The sequence below is a fragment of the Homo sapiens genome, chromosome 13, assembly GCF_000001405.40.
Source record: "Homo sapiens chromosome 13, GRCh38.p14 Primary Assembly".
NCBI lineage: Eukaryota > Metazoa > Chordata > Mammalia > Primates > Hominidae > Homo > Homo sapiens.
The window spans coordinates 106,496,030-106,518,244 of NC_000013.11; the positions used below are offsets into that span (position 1 = coordinate 106,496,030).

The 22,215-nt window shown below is 38.8% G+C and overlaps 1 protein-coding gene across 5 annotated transcripts in view; it reads right to left on the reverse strand.

The window, feature by feature from the left end:
• Positions 1-22,215, reverse strand: part of EFNB2 (ephrin B2) — a 45,918-nt gene that overhangs the window by 6,285 nt on the left and 17,418 nt on the right. For 4 of the 5 annotated variants that reach the window (NM_001372056.1, NM_001372057.1, NM_004093.4 and 1 more), the window contains exon 2: positions 16,500-16,783. In NM_001372056.1, the coding sequence (NP_001358985.1) occupies positions 16,500-16,783 (284 nt within the window). Of the gene's footprint in view, positions 1-10,013; positions 11,030-16,499; positions 16,784-22,215 lie in introns of those variants that run through there. The other variant, NM_001372058.1, reaches the window with a different exon arrangement.

Genomic DNA, 22,215 nt, shown 5'->3' on the forward strand with positions numbered 1-22,215 from the left:
GGATATCGGAAACACTGCCGCACGTATGCTATCTGACTCCAAATTTATTTAGGCACTTTCTCCTTCCTTCACAAATGACTGATTTAATGTTAGTCTATAAATAAAAGGGATGGCATCCTTCAAAAAGTCTATGGACTCTTTTGGGGCCAAACTCAGAAGAGCAAAATAGTTAATGCAGCCATTTCCAAACGTGGTAATCATCCCCCCACACCTGCTTCCTCCACTGCAGATTTCCTGCTTCAAGAACAATTAGCTTGACGCTCTGTTTGTCAAGCATCCAAGTTCTGTAAACACTAGACCAGGAGCCTCCCACAACCCTTGTCTTCTTTTTTCAGCCTTATGCATGCTTAAGAAGTATACCAGAAATCAGGTCTTCAAAATCTCCCCTTTTTCCTCCATCGTTTTGTAAATCAGAAGAACATACGTGTTATTACTGCCAATGTCAACCTTAGTCAACCTCTTCAACCAAACTACCTGTTGCGGGAAAACTCTGGCTGAATAGAGGGTTCACACACATGCCCACCACTCATTCTGGGTCCTGTGGCAGCCCTGGAGAGAAAGTGGGGACTTTTACCAGCCACTTGCTGGTGTTCACCAACTGAATTCCCTCTCCACCTCAGCAGTGAGGAGTGGAAGGAAGGACAGAATCATTTTACCATTTTCAGCATTTTTTTTTTCAACAGCCTATGCTCTATTTAAACACATCCTTGTTCTGTCTCTTTAGACCAGCGAGGTCTCTGAATAGCTTTGTAACTCAAGCTGTAAAGAGATAGGCTGCCAGGTACTTTAATGAGAAACAGGCTTTGAATTACAGTTCAAGTTCCAGGAGAGAAAAGAAGGTGGAGAGTGCTAGACATTTTCATTCCCCTAAAGTTCAAGGGGCAAGGAACAAAAGTGTTTCATATACATTTCTGCAATTTAAATCCATTTTCTACCTGATTATCAAAGTCTTGGCTTGTAACACTGTACTTTGCAAGGGACTGAAAAAAGGATTGATTTTCTGGTAAAAATAAATCCCAAAGACATTCTTCTAATGGGATTGTTTGTTTTCCAAACAGTAGGTCAGCAAACAAGTTCTATATGCATTTATGGTAGAAATATGCATTCCACTGAAATTATATTAACTACAAAAATAAGGCACTTATTTACTTGTCTTTGTGGTCTTGAATTAACTTTACTTTCACTGTTTTCCTCAAAACAAAGACTGCCTCTTCTGTGCATACATATCACTGTGCTTCTCTGAGTGCTTGCTTAAACTTTACAGTCTCACAATTGCATCTCATTCTTCTGTAACTGTGGATAAATTTTTCCCGGGAAACTGGGCAATAATTGCCATAATAATACTTGTCTTGGAAGGGTAGTAAGAAGCAGACAGTATCTGTTTGTAGATACAAACATTGTAGACCATTAAGAAACTATTCAGCAGACAGCTTAAAAAAAAAAAAACCTAAAAATTTTGTACACTTCTGTGAATCTAAAAAAAATCTTTTTAATTATTTAATGGGGCTATTAAAATTTTTTTTTATTATACTTTAAGTTCTAGGGTACATGTGCACAACGTGCAGGTTTGTTACATATGTATACGTGTGCCATGTTGGTGGGCTGCGCCTGTTAACTCGTCATTTACATTAGGTATATCTCCTAATGCTATCCCTCCCCCAGTCCCCCACCTCACGACAGGCCCCGGTGTGTGATTTTTTTCAGTTCTTCATTCTGCTCTTTCCCTTTTCCCTCCTCCAAATATGTGACTAAATTTTAAAGTATCCTTTCCTCCCAGAGGCTTCAAACTATGAGTTTCTATGAGCAGATCCTATTTCTGGACCATTTCAGAGCAGAGCTATAATCTTCAATTAATTGTTGAGAATTTTCCTATTTGATTTTTCTAAAAAATTAGGATATGTCTGCATATAGAAAGAAGTGAAAGGCTGATGTCTCTATCTGGCTGATAGTTTAAAATGTTTGGTTTACTTCATTCAGGTGGAATCCCAATGTTTTTAAATTCACAAGCACATAAATGAACCTACACGCAAAAGTGCACTCAAACTCAAAGTTAACTTACTTTGAGTTACTTACTCAAAGTAAGTAACTGACTTTTTGTTGCTAAAAGTTTCAACACTAAGCTGAAAAATGACAAAATGAGATCTGAAGGGCAGTGCACAGAAAGAAAGGGGAGGAATACAGATGTATTTATTTTAATCTTGAGGGGGAAAAGACAGTCAAAGATTCAGATCCAAAAGAAAAACAATTAAATGAGTATCAGCAAGAGAAAAACAGGCACAGTAGAGCAGTTACTTGTAAATAGAATTGAGAACTGCGTCTGCAGAGGGAGAAACTGCTGATGACTTCTGCTTTGTCAAACTGGAAGCACAAGAGGTGCACATTATTTGATTTTTTTTTCTTTTAATTTGTAGGTCAGTGCCTTTTCTGAATATCAATGCTTTTGTGCGGAGCTCCCTAGGTTTACCAAAACGGGGTCTTGACAACCACAAATGTAAAATCTCTAGAGTATTAAAATTCAATTGGAATCTATAATTTAACATCCACAGACTATAAGACAGTAGGAGGAAGGCTGTGTTGCATAAGAATGAAACTGCTTTGCACCTTTAAGAGTGAAAACTTTTTTATTTCTTGGTTTAAAAAAAAAGTGTGTGGGGAAGAGGGAAACATTCAAGTCTTAGAGTTGAAGAAGGAAAAATCTACAGATGCTGCCTTTGTAGGTTCCTCTGAAGCCACAGGCTATTGCTTGTTTGGGGGAGTGTGCTTGCCACGTGGGGAGCAAAAGTGGGCTGAACAGTCTGAATGCAGACAGTTTTTCTGCTATATTCAGCATTTTGCTTCTTTTCCTTTTAAGTCAACCTGTGACTTGCAAAGGGTACTGGAAGATACTGAAAAATTCACTACTAATATCAAAATAACATCCCAAATACTTGGTTGCTTATAAAGGGGCATTTAAAATACAGTTACACGTTCCACCAGGAAAGATTTTTGCCATGAGTTAGAAATGATCTAAGGTGCCATGAACTGTTTTAACCCAGTTAGTACACTGGTACTAACTGAAACTCCAGGAGGTAAACTTTACAAGTATAACGTAATTCAAAATGACTTCAGTCTATTTTATACTTGATGTAAGTATAGCTTCCCATAGTGAAAATCACCTTTCTTCTCCCCTGCTACATCCTCATCACAGAGTGTAATTCTTATGCTGAGGTTCCAAACCCCCCTCCTTGAACAGTGACACAGCTAAAAAAAAAAAGTCTCCTATCCCAATTATACCTCCTTCCTGGCAGCGAACTCTGAAATAAAACCACAAGATTAATATTCTGATTTCTCCTGCAATAGTCACCAAGAAGCTCTGAAAGGCTTAGTGGCTGATTTTGAAAAATAACAAGAAATTGCTAATGCTTGGGAAAAAAAATCTATTTCCATTTCAGGAGACAATTCTGCAATTATTTTCATTGTTCATTTGAATGTACTGGGAATTTTTAACTTAGAGAAAGAGTGAAAATAAATTGTTAGTTCATTATACTTAGTTTTTCTTTGTATCTTTCTATCAGCGTGATCTAATGCAGCCACAATCATAGTATTGCTACATAAATGAAATCACATTTAATCATTCAGAGATAGAAAAAATAACATTGTTATAACTAAGCTTTTAGGGCCCAGATATTTTTTTTCCCTTGGCTCAGGAAAAAAATAGACTTTACAAATTTAAAAATTACCAGAAAATTTCTCTATCCAGTTGGAAAATAGGCTTAATAAAGATACATGGGCATTTTACAGCCTGTTTTTAAAAGCTTTTGCTTCAGGGGTCTAACTGCATGTAGTAAGTATATAGAAGTCACTACATTGTTCCCCCCAGGGCCTAATTTCCAGTGGGTAGAGATTACTGCTCAGCAAAAAAGTTCCTTGCGTTCACATCGTCTAAAAGTTCTGCAGCACATCTGAAACCACACAGCTGCCATCTGCGGTTTGCCATCTATTTGCACCTATACTTATCTGCAGTTCTTAGTCACTGGGAAGAGTATACTGGTTATCTGAGTAGGAAAAAAAAGAGAACCAGTGAGTAACTGTAAAGCAGACTGGAAGGGCAAGAATATTTCTGGCTGTGCTTTTTAGCCCATCCCCAGGAAGAGGAAGTAGTACTCCATTTTCACATGTCTTCATCTGATGTTCACCGCTCTGCTCCCAGGAGGCTAAGCTCCAGCCCCACATCTTGGCTGTGTTTAGTCCACCACATTGCTAACAGTGTGCTAATCAGATGGACAATCAAACTTCTGGATTTGCACCGATATATGGGTCTCACTGGCACAGAGATGTGAAACGGGGAAGCACAAAAAAATCCTACAGAATAATGGTATCACAGTTCTTATGGAAAGAATGAAGCACCAGGAAATATAAATACTATTGAGGGTATTTCAAATTATTTAAAAATGTAGCGTATTTGTATGGGGCCAGGATGGAGGAGAGGGCAGATGGACACTTGGAAGCAAGTATTTGTATCAACTCCGTTGAAGAAGTCCAACAGAGAGACATGATAAGCATCCAGGGTCATGAAAACCACAGAGTCGTCAGAATAAAAACGTTGCCCTTACATACAGCTGCACTGGACACAAGTTACTCTCATGTAACCACAAAACAAGTAGCATTTTATGAACATTCTCTGTCAATATCTATGGGAACTATTCTTTTCCAGCATGTCCTCACATGCTAGCCTTGCTAATTTGGACTTCTTAGGCGAGTCTTCCTACACATCAGTTTCCTTAAGCTTGATACAGACTTCTGAAGATCGGAAGACTGTTATCTTGGCAAACTGAAGAATTAAAAAAAGCATAATCCAGTAACAACATGGAAAGCAAAGCCGTGACTTTAAAATAAACACAAACACAACAACAAACCAAACTGTATTACTGTTTTCTTCTACCACAGGGCTATCAAATCTGAGTGTCAAAAAAACAAAAAGAATAAGGTAAGTTGAAAAATAAGAAGGCTGATAAAAAAATAATTAGTGTGAATATACAACCTAGGAAGCTAAGATTTATCTATTTAACACCCTGACATCAATTCAAACTATGTACTCTAGAAACAAGAATTCAATTTCTGAAACTCAAATTAATGTAGTTGAATGCCTTGAGTTTCACAGTTATCTTTTAAGATGCTAACTTAGAAGAAAAGTTCTAAACATGGAAATGATAGTGTTCACTGAATGCCAAAAATAAATGACTGTTTCTTTAAAGTTAATTAATAAAATCTTCTGAAACAGAAACATCTATTTAATTTGCCAAAAGGAAAAAAAGAATTTCATTCATTTTTTTTTCTAACTTCTTCCTTTTATGTGTTTTTCACTGTGGCTTTAAAATGAGAAAAATGAGAAATATAATCATGACTTTCCGAGGGCCTCATTATTCTTGTTTAGTTTAATATATTTAAAAAATTCAGCATTACTTCAAATCACATAGCACTTCATCCTATAATACCAAATTTGCCTTATCTTAGAGCAAGTTTTATGGTATACTTTCCCCTAAATGGCCTCACTTGAAGAAAGAAAAATACAGAAGAATTTATTTTCCTTTTTTTTTTTTTTGAGACGGAGTCTCGCTCTGTCACCCAGGCTGGAGTGCAGTGGTGTGATCTTGGCTCACCACAAGCTCTGCCTCCCAGGTTCACGCCATTCTCCTGCCTCAGCCTCCCGAGTAGCTGGGACTACAGGAGCCCGCCACCACACCCGGCTCATTTTTTGTATTTTTAGTAGAGACGGGGTTTCACAGTGTTAGCCAGTTTGGTCTCGATCTCCTGACCTCGTGATCCGCCCGCCTCGGCCTCCCAAAGTGCTAGGATTACAGGCGTGAGCCACCGCGCCCGGCCCAGAATTTATTTTCAAGAAGAAATTTATACTTAGCAAAGTTAATTTAAACAAAACAAGCCCTCTACTTGATGAGATGGTTCTCACTGACATTTGATTAACTCTTATTTTGCATGCAGGGAGCCACAGCTAAAACACTGTATAAACTATCAGTGATGTAGGATGTGTGAGTTTTTCACCCGTGAAAATATCGTTCAATATGATAGGAAGAATCACTTGAATTAATACCACATTGCTATGGTTGTGTTTTGAAAACTTAAAGCAGTAAATCATGCATTAAGAAGTAATAACTGGCTTAGCTTCAGTGACTTTTCTATGCAACACTATTAATTAGTTTTCTGCACTAAACAGAATAATTTGGAAAAAGTAGATTCTAAAATTGAGTCACAGTTTAGAACTCCCCTCCTCTTTGCCAGCATTGAAATATGACTGAAGATGTTATCAAGTACAAATGGATGCTCTTAAAGAAAATGGTACAGTTTTATTTCTTTAATTTCAAATATTCATGATGAACAATAATAGGACATTCTACCCAGAGCTCAGAAAGAAGAGTGTTAAACATGGAACAACTTTGAAGCAGTTTGGTAAGTTGATTTTGTTTGTATGTGCACTTAAAAGGTTTTGATGACATATATTACTTAATTGCTTCTACTTGGGAAGAGAAAGGATACCAGGATACAGAACTGAGTTTACAGGTGCCATCATGCTATGCGAGGCTTGGACACTGAGGGAGAAGGTCAATCTACTGAGAGAAAAGTCACAAAATAAAGCAATAAACACCACATCTAGAACAGGAGAAATTCTATCACAGCTTTCGCATAAAGCCTTTTAACCATTAAAAACCGTATGAATGTCAAATAGCAATCAGTGAAGACATTCAGGGCCATAGGTATCTTTGACTATACAGACCTGGAAAGCTACTGGCTACAGACACTCAAGAGTGAAAAGACGGAAGAGCAGAAAGTGATGGCAGGTGCACATGTGTGCGTGTCTACATGTGTGTGCGTGCAAGCACATGTACACATAGGGGGTATAGATCAAGAAAACATACCGTCCAGGCTCAGTGATGTACACTGACGCTTTTCTGAGAAAGACCAGACAGTACTGGCAATAAACTGCACCTCCCCCAACCCCCGACTTTTTTGTTTGTTTGTTTTGCTAGAGACATGTTTAACAACATAAGATTATTTATGGAGTTGTTTATTTTATTTCCCCTCAAACTATTGTTTGGAACAGCTTGGTGTCTTGATTTTTAATAAATTCTGTTGAGGAAAAACATCACTTTCTAAGTCTAAGATCTTACTGTTAAAAGTTATGACGATTTATGCAGGTGGAATCTCTCAGTTAAGAAAAAAAATTTAACATAATTTCAAAATAAAAAACAAAACAAAAAAAAAGCTTTTCTTCTAGTATAATTTAAGGGACCGTTTCTTATTGCCACAGTAATTCAGAAAAACTTAATATAGTGGGAACATGAGAGTCAATGGTAAAAGAATAAGTAACTTCACATAGAAGAGCCAGCCTTAGACACACCTGAATATGTGTCCTGAGCTAGGGAATCCGGGAGTGGCCAATGTGGAGAGTCATTCCTTGTCTATGAGGAACAGCTGAGCCCTCGGCCCATCCTGTGGAACATGGGCCGTACAGGGACTCGAGGTCCTAAGTTCTGGATTAAATGAAGGTTGCCAGGTGGAAGTCATTAGCTGGGTGGTGTTAAGTGAAAATGCTATAGATGAACTACATGCTGTTTGCAAGCAGTTGCAGTTTTCCTGCCCAGCTCACTGCCACAGGGCCATGTGGATATCTTGTCCAGCCCACTGCCACTGGACTCTCTCTTTCCTTGTATATAAGCCCCCAATAAAACCCCATGTCTTGAAAAAAAAAAAGTCATTCTTGATATGCTTAATATGGGCCAAAATCTACTAAGATAGAGGAATTGTGTTTTAAAAATAGGCGGCCAGATGACCACTGCAATAGCAATGACTCAGCTCACATTTTTAAAGAAAAGAATAATGTAAGAGTTCTAAAGATAAAACATAATTCCCTATTGTCTATATTAGCTGTACTTAAGCATCAGATTTTTAAAAATGAAACTTCCCAGGGAAGGGATAGTGATAATATCTAATGAAAATATTCTGAACCATGGAGAAGCAGGTGTTTGAGTGAATTATTTCCAGCACATAATCCAGTGCCTGCTCTGAAGATTCTGACAGTCTCAATCATTAAAATATCCTTGCCAAGATACGAAAAGGTCTAGCTGGGAAAGGGTCAGAGTAAAAAGTTCATGGTGGGGAGGGTGCACATCCCACAACCCTCTAGCTCTTTCTACTGTCACTAATTGCATGCAATGATATTAATGACCCAGTAATTGCGAGACGAGTGGCACTGAAGTGGAAAACATCCATCGGAGGCAGAGTTCATCTCTAGGCGGTGGGACTTCACCAGCGACCGAATTAATGTCTGCTGACAGTTTAGAATATAACAACACTGCAGAGGAGAAAATGCGTCACTCTCATGGACACACACAGCTTAGATGGACATCACAGCTTAGATGGACATGTTGTTTGCTTTGACCATCTAGAGACCAGTAGTAACCCCAATAAGGTGCCCCTATCTAAATTTGCCCTACACATGAACCTTATTCCGTCCAGGGGACATGTTCTATCCTCTAAGAATCCAGAGCAATTTCCCGCGTTTGTGCCAATAAAAGAATACCTTCATCCCCTGTTTAACATCAGGAACAACAAAATGGGCTACTTCACCAATGCAAAAAACCACTTGCAAAGCACAACTGTCACCCAGCCTGGCTCCTCTGTAATGAGATCAATTACACTCCAGCTTGAGGGTCTGCCAATCCATCAGTCCTTCTATGCAGCCAGCCAGCCAACAAAACTGCTGCACTTGTACTTGGCTAAGGGAATTTGAAGTCTCATACCACCTCTACTTGTATGTTTGAGAGATTTTTATTTTTAATCACTATATGATGTAGCAACTTTCTATTGAGGGGCTTAAAGTACTTGCTAACATAAAAACACAAAATAGTATAGATTTATTGAAAAAATGGAATTAAGAGTATGTCTAAAAAGAAAAAGAAAATTCATAAGAGCTAACAAATTGCCACTATAACCACCTTTTCCCAATGGCCTTCCTTTCCTAGTACCCTGTAGGATTTTCTTAGTTCAACTTTGGGGGCAGATGATTGCAAGCTGGTTATATGTTACACAATATATGACAAAGCGTCAGTACCAAAATGTCTGATACAAGCATACAGTCCATCCTTTATAGTTCATGAGCTTCTCTGCTGTTGCTATGTATGCAACATGTGTGTACGTATACTCTGCTGTCTCTACATATGTGTTATGTATGCATACATACTATCTTTACTATTGCTACATGTGCACTTAGATGTTTGGACCCAGGAGGCACTGTTGTAAACTAACAACGCCGGCCTAAGGGTCCAGCGGCCCTGGACTGAGTTTTGTTTCTGACATTTGATGGCCAACTGAATTGTACTAAGCTACTCACACTAAGTTTCAGCTTTCTCACAGTGATAAAAATTGCTCTAAGACCTGTGTTTCTAGACTTCAAAGTGAGACAAGAGTATGTGAAGGCCACAACACTTCCCTAAGTGATCAAACACTCAGCCCGAGATTTTGAAACTTCAGGAACAAATGTGACTCTTAAGAACTATACAAATAAGTTAAAGTAGTATTTGCTTGTCTGGTCTGTGCATCTTGGCTATTTTCATGTGTTTTATTTTGCTTTAAAGTTTTATCTTCCTGATGAATGTTTAAAGGTTATTAAGAAAGAAGCCTGTCCTCTTTCATTCTTGTACTAGGTCTCTAGCATTGTCCAATTATTTATAAATCCCAGTGAACCTTTAAAAAGCCATAAATAAGGTGCTAAAGATACCAAGATACATTTTATGAAATAATGAAGGCAGTTTTATTCTGAGCAATTCCTAAATAATTCTTGCTGTCATGATGGCTTAGGTGATGTCATTTAATGTGAACAGAGTCTCCGTCCACAGCAGCTTTTTCTTCTTACACACAGAGCCATATGGGACAGACATCCCCAGGTCGTGACTCCGCTATACCCGAGAGCCAGGAGTTTCTCAGTGCAATCTCAAGTTAAGCAGAAGCTGAGACTTTAATCCTTAAATGTAAAGAATTTATCTTTATTCATATTAAATTCAATCAGGAGTCTCACTGACACACACTGGGAAAACCTTTAATACACCCAGAAAAGGAGTTCACATGATGTTCAGAAATAACAGAAACAACGCTTCGAATTATCAGACTAATGGGCTGATCTACTTTCCCAGCTAGCCTCAGTGATAACGCAACCCTGACACATTTTCTTCTCTGGAAGACGATTTATACCACATTAGGATGCTACTAAAATTATCAATAAAGAGACACTATTTTCATTGTGTAACAGGGAACTGAGAAAAAGTCCTGGCAAGGCTGGTAACATGGAAATTGGGAAAAATGATTATATGTATCTGAAGACTCCTCCCCTGTCTGTCTCTTTTGGGTCTTACAAAGGATCTGCTAACAAGCTTGGGCAATTCCATGAACAAAAAGATACATAAATGCATGTTTCTTGGTAAAGGAAGCTCAAGGACAAAAGAGCTTTTATAACACTGAAAGAAGACAAAGAGAGAAGATCTTATAATTAAGTTATGCAGCATTACTGAAACGTGTAAACTCTCTGGAGTTCCATTTTATGGATGGACTTCAAATCAGCCAAGCTTTTGGGGTCCATCCTCTCCAGCTTGCAGCCGAACACAGGTCTGCCTCCAGCCTGGAGCCTCACACTTCCTCCCCTGCTCCAAAGTTAACTCTTAGTTATATGTATTTGGTGTCAAAGGTGGAAGTAATAAGCATTTTCTATATCCCACCACATCTGGATTCCCATCAACCCTGTGAAGCAGGTGCTGTCATTATCCCCACTTTACAGATGAAGAGACTGAGGCAGACAGGGGTTAAGTTACTTGTCAAAGGGCACTCAGGAACTCGGGTCTTCCAGACCCCAGACTCTCAACCTAAGATGTTGATCTGTTTCTCTTGGACAGGGGGAGGGTGGTGGTGGTGCTGTATCCCCCAAGATCCCAAATGCACAGTCTCTGGCAAGATTCTGATGAATATCCTATTACAAAGATGACAGCTGTAGGTTAGAAATAAAAATGAGTTTAAATGCTTGAACGCAGCCATTATGCACAAGGTATCAAACAGAAATCCTCACCCCTCAATCAGAGGACCCAAATGACAGGCTGATGTTGCTGTATCACCAAATGGGATTACATTTAATGATGGAAATGTGGCTTTTGCTACATTTATCGTACATAAATAATTCATCAAATAAAGCACATAATCGCTTTATACAGCCCACACATTATTCTATATTCTAAAAGAAATCTATATGTTAAGAGGACATTTGAAAGCTCCTGTAACTATCTTGCTAAAGAACAGTGCATTCAGTACGTTTCAGTACTACTTGCCAAACCTACACCCCAGAAATAAGTAAATCAAAAGCAGAGAAGAAAACAAATATATGCTTAACATAAGCAACAGACTCTGAAGTTCTTCTGCTTTGATTCTTTAAGAATATTGTTTCATTATATTTGTGGAAGCATTTTACTTTATTTTGTGATTTTGCTTAGAAGTGGAGTACATGTCTAAAAAATAGCAAAGCTGTTTGTGAAGCTTTCCAATTTTACATACTCTTTATTAAAAAAAAAATAAAAAATAAAAAGCTATAGACAACTGAACCAATGAGGGCCCTAAGAAATGGCAGCTTCTCCAGACTTGTTCAGTGTTCCTTAAGGAAGACTTTGCCAAGGCATGGAGAGTGAGGGAGGCCTCCAAGAGGATGCCATGAACAACACAGGGTGGATCTCACAGAACAACCTTTAATCAAACAGTCCTTCGGAAAGATGACTTACGGACTATGCCACAAGATGTGTCTTAGCTATGGATTTGCAGCAAAATAATGCAAAAGCCATATGAAGCTAAATTGGGAGGCGCTTCATTAATACGGTTTTCTTTGTCTAACAGCTCTGCTGTAGCTACTGTTCACTGGAAAAGTATGAACACAATGGCATTCATTTTTCATCCATCTCTGACTCACATGATTTTGGTAGTGTGACGAAAACCTCTTTGTGGGTTATTTTGCAAGGTTTTATGCGAAGGTAGAATAACCAGCCCACAGAACCTTCGTAAGGACAGCTGTTGCAAAGGGTCGACACACCAAACCTGCTGACTCATTCAGCTCTGGGTGTCGCCTCTGAAAAGAAACTAAACCAGGCACAGAAAATGCTGCAAAGAAAACTCTACGGATAAAGGCTACGAACACAAGAAGGCTTTCCCAGTATCAACTGGAGCATTTAGTAAGTCTAAGACACAGCTTCCCTTGAAAATAGGCAATTTCAGAACAGTTATTTCATGAACATTAAAAAAAACTTTAAAGACAATAATAAAATAACTAGAGGTTAGGTAAATTAGCTACTCTATTTTTAAGGCAATTAAAGATCTGAACATAATAAAGAAAAGGTCTCTTCAGACCACATGGCCATAATATCTCCATCTTTGCATTACTTGAAGATTAGGAGATCTCATTATGCAAATCAGGCCCAGGGCTAATTACTGAAATAGGTCACTTGAAAAAGTCAATTCTAAACAAGAATAAAAACCCATATACAGATGCTCCATGACTTAGGTGGGGCTATGTCTTGATACTTGATAAGCACAAGGTAAGCTGAAAATATCATTAAATTGAAAATACATTTAATACTCCAATAAACCCATCAGAAAGTTGAAAAATTTAAGTGGAACTATTTTAAGTCGGTGACCATTCATATATAATTTTGCCACAAGTTAAAAAACAAATAACCATCTATGAGAAGAATGAATGAGGATGCATATCAGTTTGCCACATATCTCCTAAGGGGACTTAGTTAATACTTAGTGTGTTTAAAAATACAGTTCAAATTAAAAATTCATATTCACGTCTGAAACTCACAAGTGTGATGACTATATTTTAAAGCAGGTAACACCACAAATCAAATTAAATGTTTTTAAAGAATTTACAGAGGATCATGTCCATTTGAAACCACACTAACAAGTGATCCTATATTGCATTTGTATGCCCAGCCCTAAGGTGGCTTGAAACTGGAGGAGACCGCCATCATTAGCCAGAACAATGACAATACTAAAAGCGTTTTTTAGGGAAATAAATTAAAGTTCAAAGAAATAAAATTGACTTTCTCATTAAGCTTAGGAAGCAGGACTAGCAAGTAGGACTCTAGGTTCCTGGTTTAATTCTTCTGAAATGCTGTTCATGTAGGGTACTCCCCAATGCAAGTCAGTCCCTCTGGACTACTCCTCACTGGGGAAAAGTCAAGCACTCCTCCAAAGCATCAGGTCTCTTTTTCCTCTCCATGGAAAGAAACCAGCACACAATAACATATTTATTATAACACTGCTCGTTCTGAAGGCGCTTACCAACTAGACACTCAGATTTGGGGTTAAACCCATGTAGAATTTATTAAAGCTGAACTCAAATGCTAATATTATTTACTGTCTCAAAGTGAACCAACGATTTGAAGTGTTAAAAATATACATGTAAATTTTAATACTTTCCGTCATGCTACCTAGCACTATTTATAAATGTACTGATATAAAAATTACTAACTTCAAACACTTTCCTTCTCAAAAAAGCCAGTACAGAGCTTGACTGTGTGTGTGTGTGTGTGTGTGTGTGTGTGTGTGTGTGTGTGTGCATTTGTCTGATATGCAAAGTAGTGACTTTTTAAAATCCATTCATTGTTTTGGTGTCTTGGAACTTATGCAGAAGCAATACAAAGTCAATATTAATTTCTAAAACTATTTTAACATTTGTTCTCTGCATTTCCCATTTCCTTTCTAGGGAAACTTGTAGATCAATGAGCTTTGCTGTAGGGTGGGTGAGAAATTGGCTTCTATATTTTCCCAAGTATCTGAAACGCCTTCCTCTGCCTACGCCATCGTGGAAGTCTTTCAACTCTGCTGAAAGTCTCAACTGGACTTCCTGGCAAACTTCTTAGCCCTGAGTCCTCCACCCAGCCCTTATGACAGTCCCCCAAAGCAACATTCAAATAGCCTCTCGTAGTTTCAAACTTGAGACCCTCAATTCTGTATTAAGAAAGATTCATTTATCCCAGGCTACCATATGCTTTTGCATGGTAAATCGTAACTCTAAGGAGAGCTCTGATGGCCAGAGTAGTTCAGTAACTGCAATGAACCTGTTAGTGTGGTATGAAGAGTTTCCAAAAAAAGAAAATAATAGATGTCGTTATTGTGTAGATTAATATTATAATTATAAATTAAACTGCTTCTAAATACAAATCTCTCATGTATTAATAAAAAGCAATTATTAAATGCTCACCACATTAAGCAAAGAGATGTTGGTAAACAATTATTTGCATATCTTGCATATTATTTCACACTAAAGGTTAAACTCTTAATGTTTACTAAAATTCCACTTGCGCCCAGTGCGAACTTAGAATTTGCAAAGCATTCTTCGTGAAGTCATAAGCTAAAGTAAGAAGAGAGACTCTGGGTGTGTCGGCATTATCGGTGGACGTGGGCTGCATCCACGCATTAGGGACATGCGTTCACTGCCCTAGGGCATCTCATCTCTAGTGTGTCCCCTCTTCCCGTACCACGACCTTCTTTCTCCCACCCCACCTAGGGGCATTAACCTTCTTAATAAATGCATCTGATCAGTTTCAGTTGCCTGTAAATGTCATGCCTAACAGTAGCTTTCACTGAAAAAGTCTTACTTTAAAAGTCTTTACTAAGGCCAGGCGCGGTGGCTCACGCCTGGAATCCCAGTACTTTGGGAGGCCAAGGCGGAAGGATCACAAGGTCAAGAGATCCAGATGATCCTGGCCAACATGGTGAAACCCCGTCTTGACTAAAAATACAAAAATTAGCGCACACCTGTAGTCCCAGCTACTTGGGAGGCTGAGGCAGGAGAATCACTTGAACCCAGGAGGTGGAGGTTGCAGTGAGCCGAGATCACGCCACTGCACTCCAGCCTGACGAAAGAGAGAGACTCCGTCTCAAAAATAAAATAAAATAAAATAAAAAAATAAAGTCTTTACTAATATAAATACATTGTTAGGCTTCCAAAAGCTTAAAGTTTCCATTTATTTTACCTGGTAACTATTTTACATTTTCAAAGATTTCCCTACTATGCTGCATACTTGGCCACCCCATCTACCTGTTTCATTTCAGAATGCTTTTATTTTATAATAATTACTCCTTACTAAGTATATACTCTACCACATTCTCTCTTTTTTTTCTTGTTGTTGTTGTTACTAATTCTTGGTAAGCTACTCTATGTATCAAGTTGGCTTTAAAAATAGGTTTTCATTCTGTGCTTTGAAGTGTAGCTCTTGAGCTGGGTGCAGTGGCACATGCCTGTAGTCCGAGCTACTTGGAGGCTGAGGTGGGAGGATCACTTGAGCCCTGGAGTTCAAGGCTACAGTGAGCTGTGATCATGCCACTGCACGCCAGCCTCGGCAACAAAGCTAGACCCTGTCTCTAAAAAAATAAAATAACAATAAAGTGCGGCTCATAGGTTGAGATGCAAGAGTTTCAGTTTGATCACCAAGAGTCTCCTACCTAAAGTTTTAGAGTCCACCTTGGGGCAAATAATAAACCAGTGGCAGATAGCAGTTCCCTAATAAACTGAAGTCTATGGTAACCAAGCCACTGGAAAATTCAACCCAATTAATTATGAGTATAATTTTAAACCAAAGAAATTAAGAAAAAAGACTTCATTGCTTGAATGACGCGAACAGCTGTCTGAGTCACCTAGACTTTAACACCACCTGGGGCCCTGGGAATGACGCTGACGAGAGATCTGCACATAGTAGGCGTGGGCTCCAAATGTGCTCATCAGCTGACTTCACATCCTCACAAGTCAGCCTCAGATATGACCCAAGGGATACGTACCATCTCTTCTTGAAACAGCGTGTCAAATTATATATATGTATGCAAAAAAGAGTAATGTACTAAGCAAACCAAGTTTCGTCTTTTTCTTCTGAATCTGGTTTTAATGTGACCTGTCATCCCCATCTTTCGAATTTATGAGCTCCATCTTCTCTAGACTGTTAACTTCTTGAGGAAAACATGCTATTTTACCACCTTTCACTGCTGAATCCCTAGCCCTTAAGCACAGTCTCTGGCACAGAATAAATACGAAATGAATGAGTGAATGAATGGATGGATGGGTGAAGAGAAAAGGCAATGCACAAGATTTACCTATCAAAATCCACCAATGGTCCTTAAAAATGGTTTTGTCAGTAGAGATGCTGAATATATTCATATAATACATTTATTTCAATACTATTAAGAATTCTAGTGTTTTTTTTTCTCTTTGGGTATGTATACTTAATGAATACTGGTAGCACAGGGTCCCAAATTCAATGAAGTTTTCTTTGAAAAAAAAAAAGGGGGGGGGGACAATTTTTCCACATAGATTTTCATCAAATTATTTGTCACAATAATTTTAAGGAAACAAAAAATTGATACAAACCTATATAGCTTATCTTAATTTCTATAAAATAAATGAATAAAATTATACTTACATATAATGTAATAATCTTTGTTCTTCTGAAATTCTAGACCCCAGAGGTTAGGGCTGAATTCTTGAAACTTGATGGTGAATTTGATATCTTGGTCTGGTTTGGCACAGTTGAGGAGAGGGGTATTTTCCTTCTTAATAGTGCATCTGTCTGCTTGGTCTTTATCAACCATATAAACTTTATAATATTCATACTGGCCAACAGTTTTAGAGTCCACTTTGGGGCAAATAATATCCAATTTGTCTCCTATCTGTGGGTATAGTACCAGTCCTTGTCCAGGTAGAAATCTAAAAGCATAAGAAAAAAAAGCCATTGAGTTGATAAAAATTAACAGTATTAATGACAGTTACAAGATAGCCAGGCAATGCCCATAATCCCAAACTACACATTTTCAGATTCACACTTTAATTTATCAAAAGTCTCTTACTTCAGATCAATATGGGATGAATGTATTTTGGAATTAAGCTTTAAAAGAAAAAGGAAAGACAGAAAGAAACCACTTTCCTTACTCTAAGCTGTAGGATCAGGCTACCTGCTGACATTTCTTTACCACCCCCTCGCTTGTAATATTTCAGTACTCCTTTGTGTAACTTTACCATAACTCTTCCTCCGTGGTGAGTCAGATCTCCCACATGTTTGTTATTTTTTAACCATTGGCAGCTTTAGTTTATTGGGCATGCCACAGAGAAAGCTCGTCAATTGGAGGGAACAGTGGATCCACTAATACTTTGTTGTCCTGTTAGTTTCCCTGTGCTGTTGATGTTAATTAACAGACAAGTTTCATCAAGAATGTTTCAAATTACTTATCATAATTAGTCAGTCACTGATCAAACAATGGGTTTTTTATTACACTGAACAAAAGCAATGTCTTACAAATGCGTAAAAGATAACCAGAAATAATTAGTTGTGGTATTGATTCAGCTGCAAAATGAAGTGTCCTCTACTTGCAAGGACAACTACTGTCCCTGCCCTATAAATCTTTTTTTTTCTTCCCTTGAGATGTATTTGCTCCAATTAATTCTCAGAAGCAAATCTTTAGAACTAAGACTACTGATACAATATCCCCTTAATGCTTATAGCTGAAAGCCTCCCTCCTCCCTTTCCTCTTTCTTGGTAGCCATGTTCCTGAATGATCTTTCTTAATGGGGAGTTTCTCTGAAAAACTGAAACAAGAACTTCCTAATGAACATCCTTCTACAAGTGCTAACACTAACAACACACTTAGAAATCTCAGCTCGTTCGTAAGCAGCCAAGCCTGCAGGCTCATTAAAATATTAAAGCCTAAGAACAAAGAATCGCCTCTGAATCCTTCCAATCCAACCCTTTCTTTAACCAGAGACGCCCACCAGCCATGATGACTACAGGGTCATAATTCACTAAGAGATAAAGCAAGGATGATAGGGCACCCCCAATTTCAAACCCATACCAAGGGAATAGTTTATGATTTATGCTAATGAATGGTATTAATTTTCTGAAAAGTGCATGAGTGTGGTTATGAAGCAGCACAAAACATAACAGAAATCATACTATGGATTCATATTAAAAACCCACACTCTTTATTGGGAAGAAAAATGTATGTGGCTGTTACCTCTTTCTTGGGAATGTGTTACTGTACAACCCCCAAAAGAGAAGGATGGTCCCTTTTTTTTTAACTGAGCTCCTTTAGCAAGGATATATGACATTCATTCATTCAAAAAAACTTTCTGTGAAACAGAACTCAAAACGAATTTTTATAACAATGATATATTTAAAACAACCATGTGTGTACTGTTGAAGAATTCTCTAGAACTTTTGACAAATGCAAATCACAGTGGGAGCCTCTCTGTGGTATCCCCTCAACCTTGTGAATGGCAATGTGTTCTCTGTAGACAATTTCATCTTCTTTATGGACAAAACACAATTCAGTTTCTCAAGTAACAGACTGAATCAGAATGTTTGGGATGAGGCTAATTTCTTTATCTCCCCCAGCCCCTCCAACACACACACAGTAATTCTGATGTGCTGCTGAGGTTAAAAACCTCAGGCAAGATGCCGGGCAGTAAGTACAAACTAAATTCCATAAACATTAAATTGATCATCTTCCTGACATTTCCTTTTTCTCCTGTCTTATTCCTTGACCTTTTTAGGACATCTTTAAGGTTTACAAACACCAGGAGTCAATTCCTGCCTAGGGTTTCTCATACACTCCAAACCTTTTCTATCCTTAATCTGCTCCTTTTGTAGCCTGCACAGACAGCACTATATAAGGGTTAGCTACTATTAGGGGAAGTATTCCTAAATTACAAGCCCTGGGGGCATCCCAGGCTTCAGAGATTAGGATCCTTAACCAAACCAGATGTACCCATTTCCTCAACCATTCATTCAGCTCTTTTAAGAAAATGCATTACACCCCCTCCCAAGCTGTACATCTCTGCAAATCTTAAAACTCTCCCACATTACACCCTATGTCTCAAGTTTGGCTCACTAAGCTCCTTCTTCATTCAAAATGCTCCCAAGATCCTGTTTCCTTCATGAGGATTTTTTTTTTCCTGCTTAACTAAAGATTCACAGGAGGTTTCCTCCCAGGCCATGCAAGTCACTCCTCTTGACTCTCATCACTCACCGTCTCAGCGACAGGTCTTGCTGGTGCTGATGCGGTGAGGTCGAGAACATGGGACGCAGGGGTCGGTGTGGCTTTGGGGATCTCTGTGTTTGAGGCCATATTTTCAGAAGGCGTAAGTCATATAAATCATTTAATGAGCCTTTTAATTCATTTTACAAACACGCCAGGCCTTCCTTGATGTAAAGTTTTCATTCAGTGTGTACTGTCCAACTTTGTTAAAAATCTATAATGGTCAGTGACGGCAATCCGGGGGATGCTTATCAAAGCGGAAGTGTGGTGGGGAGGCTCACATTTCAATATGCATATTAGATACGCTTGTAAAAAGTAAATCGTGACAAAGCTCACTATTCCTGATGATTCCAAAAGCATTAATTCACCTTTCAGAACACACTGTGGCAAAACGTGAGGCAAGAATTTGATCCTCGGCTCTTCAAAAGTAATTGTTTCTAGAGCTCATTAAAACAATGATTGTTCCTTTAATTAAATCAATACAAAAGGCCCCAATCCTTGAGTGGTTTAGCAGCTTTTACTTTTTAAGCGTATATATAAACAGCCATAGCGCACAGTCACTTTAAGTGAAGAAATTATGGCTTCTCAGTGGACAGAGTGCAGTTGAGCTGAGAGCCTGAACTACAGCTCTCCTGGCCATGTTTTCACTACGTGTAGTCTGCATTATTGACTCTGCCTCCCGGGAACTCTCACACTTCCTAAAGCACCATGGCAGCAAACAACAGTACTGTGAGTGTAACAACTCAAGTAACCTATGTTGTGCCAGACATTATGAGTGACAGAAAAGTGGAGACCACTGATCATTAGGAATTTATAGTCTAGCTCCCTGAGGGCAGGCAAGTCCCACATGTGACTAATTCAGTATTAAACACCCAAGGGGCTGACACAGAGTAGATGCTCAATAAATAATGTATTAATTGAACAAAAAATAGGAATGAACAAATAGAAGCTAACATTTATACAAATTGAAGTCAAATTAAATACCACTATTTGCAGATCACAGACATGATAGGAATTCTGAAGACAGAACCACTGAGTCGGTACAGGACACACTGAGGAGGAGAGACTGGATTTCTGAAGATGCCCTCCCAGGCACACTGGCATTTCTGGAGAGCAAGGAGCCCTGCAGATGCAGTTTCTGACCCTTCCTCTCTGGAAAAAGTTCTAAGTATTGGCAGTCTTCTACAATCCCTCTCTACTTAAAATGCAAGGCAATCAGCCACCTCCAGAACCACTAATAATACAAACACAGCTGCTTTTGAGCACTTGCTTTTGGCTCAGCACTGTCCAAAGCCCCATACATCCCATGTTCTTCATTTCAGCATGACGCATGGACCTAACACACAAAACAGGTGAAGACACACTGGTGCCCAATGAGCATGACAGGAAAAGCCCCCTTTCTCTGCACACATTTCAGTTTTGACTGCAGCACATTCAATTATAACTCCAGCATTGGGAAACACATTTTTTTCCCCCAAATCAAGCTGTTCATAGATAAGCCATGAAGTTAAGGGAAATCAAGACACGCACATGTGAGCGTCACATGGAGAGCCAGGGAAAGTCTAGCTCCACACCAAGCACACATCAGTGGTGCCTGAAGGGAAGAGGCTTCTTCCGAGGCAGTCATCTGAGACCACGGCTCAGATGTGCAACCCTTCCCCAGGAGGCCAGGAACCAAAAGGTGAGGAAGAAACAGACCAGCTACATGGCATTTGTGTTTTACATTTAATATTACATATGGACTCCAGACAATTATGCAAATAGCAGAATATATATGAAAAGAAAATGGGGTGAGTTTCCTAATAGTATCATTTTTTAATGGAAAACAATTGAGTTCCATATGTTATAATCAAGTCAGTAAACAGAGTTCCTATTTTGGAAGTGATGGGGTTTATATTTGAATTCTGTTGCTTTGATTGCTTAGACACATTAACAAATCAAACTACACAGCACATCTATCTATGCCCTAAATATTTTGTAATATTCAACAATACACTTCTCCTATGCTGACTTTGAAAGTGTTAAAAAGAATTATGATGATGATAACTGGCTAAGTTTAAATTACTAAACTGACTTTCCATTATGGATGCCAAATACAGATTTCTTTCTGTGTGTTCAGATAATGTTCATCTTGTAACCAAAAACAGCAGAGGGAAACCGCCACAGTTACAACCCATACCACATGGGGGGAGGCTGTTCTTGTTAAACTTCGCCCAGACAGAGAGTGGTTAGAGAGAGGTGTCATTTAATAAAGTCTGCTGATTTTAAGCCCAAATAAAAAGCAAAGACCACCAAGAGTGATTCATGTCCCACACAGGAGAGAGAACTGAGCCAGACCAGTTCCATCCCTGAGCGAAGTCAGAGCAGGCTCTCTACTATCTTCCTGGGAGGGGAAGGCTGCCTCTTCCTTTCCATCAAGACAATCTCCAGGTTCAGGACTGCTTCCCAGGCCATGGCGTGTGGCTTGGTGCATTCTCACTGGAGGGCCTGCCTGGGAACCATGGGAAGCTACTCTAAGAGTGAGGCATACTGAGTGGAAATAGGCAACTCCAGTGGCTTTTCCCAGTGAATCAGTCCTAAGCAAGACAATAGATGCCCTGCCTTTGAATCAAATATAGACACAATATAATGTGGAAAAAACTGGAAACACTCAAGTAGGGCTTCCAAACTTAACATGACTATGGTGAAAAGATCTGATATTGGAATCTGTTTTTACTCTTGGATTACCTATTGAACTTAAGCCAAGCTTTTTCAAGTTTTTCACCAATCTAGACTCTAATACTTCTACATGGATACTTTGGCTAAGTCTAATCATCTCAATTAGACATAAATATTTAGTAATCTAAACTGGATCTCTAATAATTTAGACATTTCAACTTCACAGTCATAATTGTAAAAACTTTAAAAAATAGTCCTTATGTTGCCAGGCGTGGTGGCTCACGCCTATAATCCCAGCACTTTGGGAGGCTGAGGCGGGTGGATCACGAGGTCAGGAGTTCAAGACCAGCCTGGCCAAGATGGTAAAACCCCGTCTCTATTAAAAATACAACACTTAGCTGGGCATGGTGGCGGGCGCCTGTAGTCCTAGTTACTCGGAGGCTGAGACAG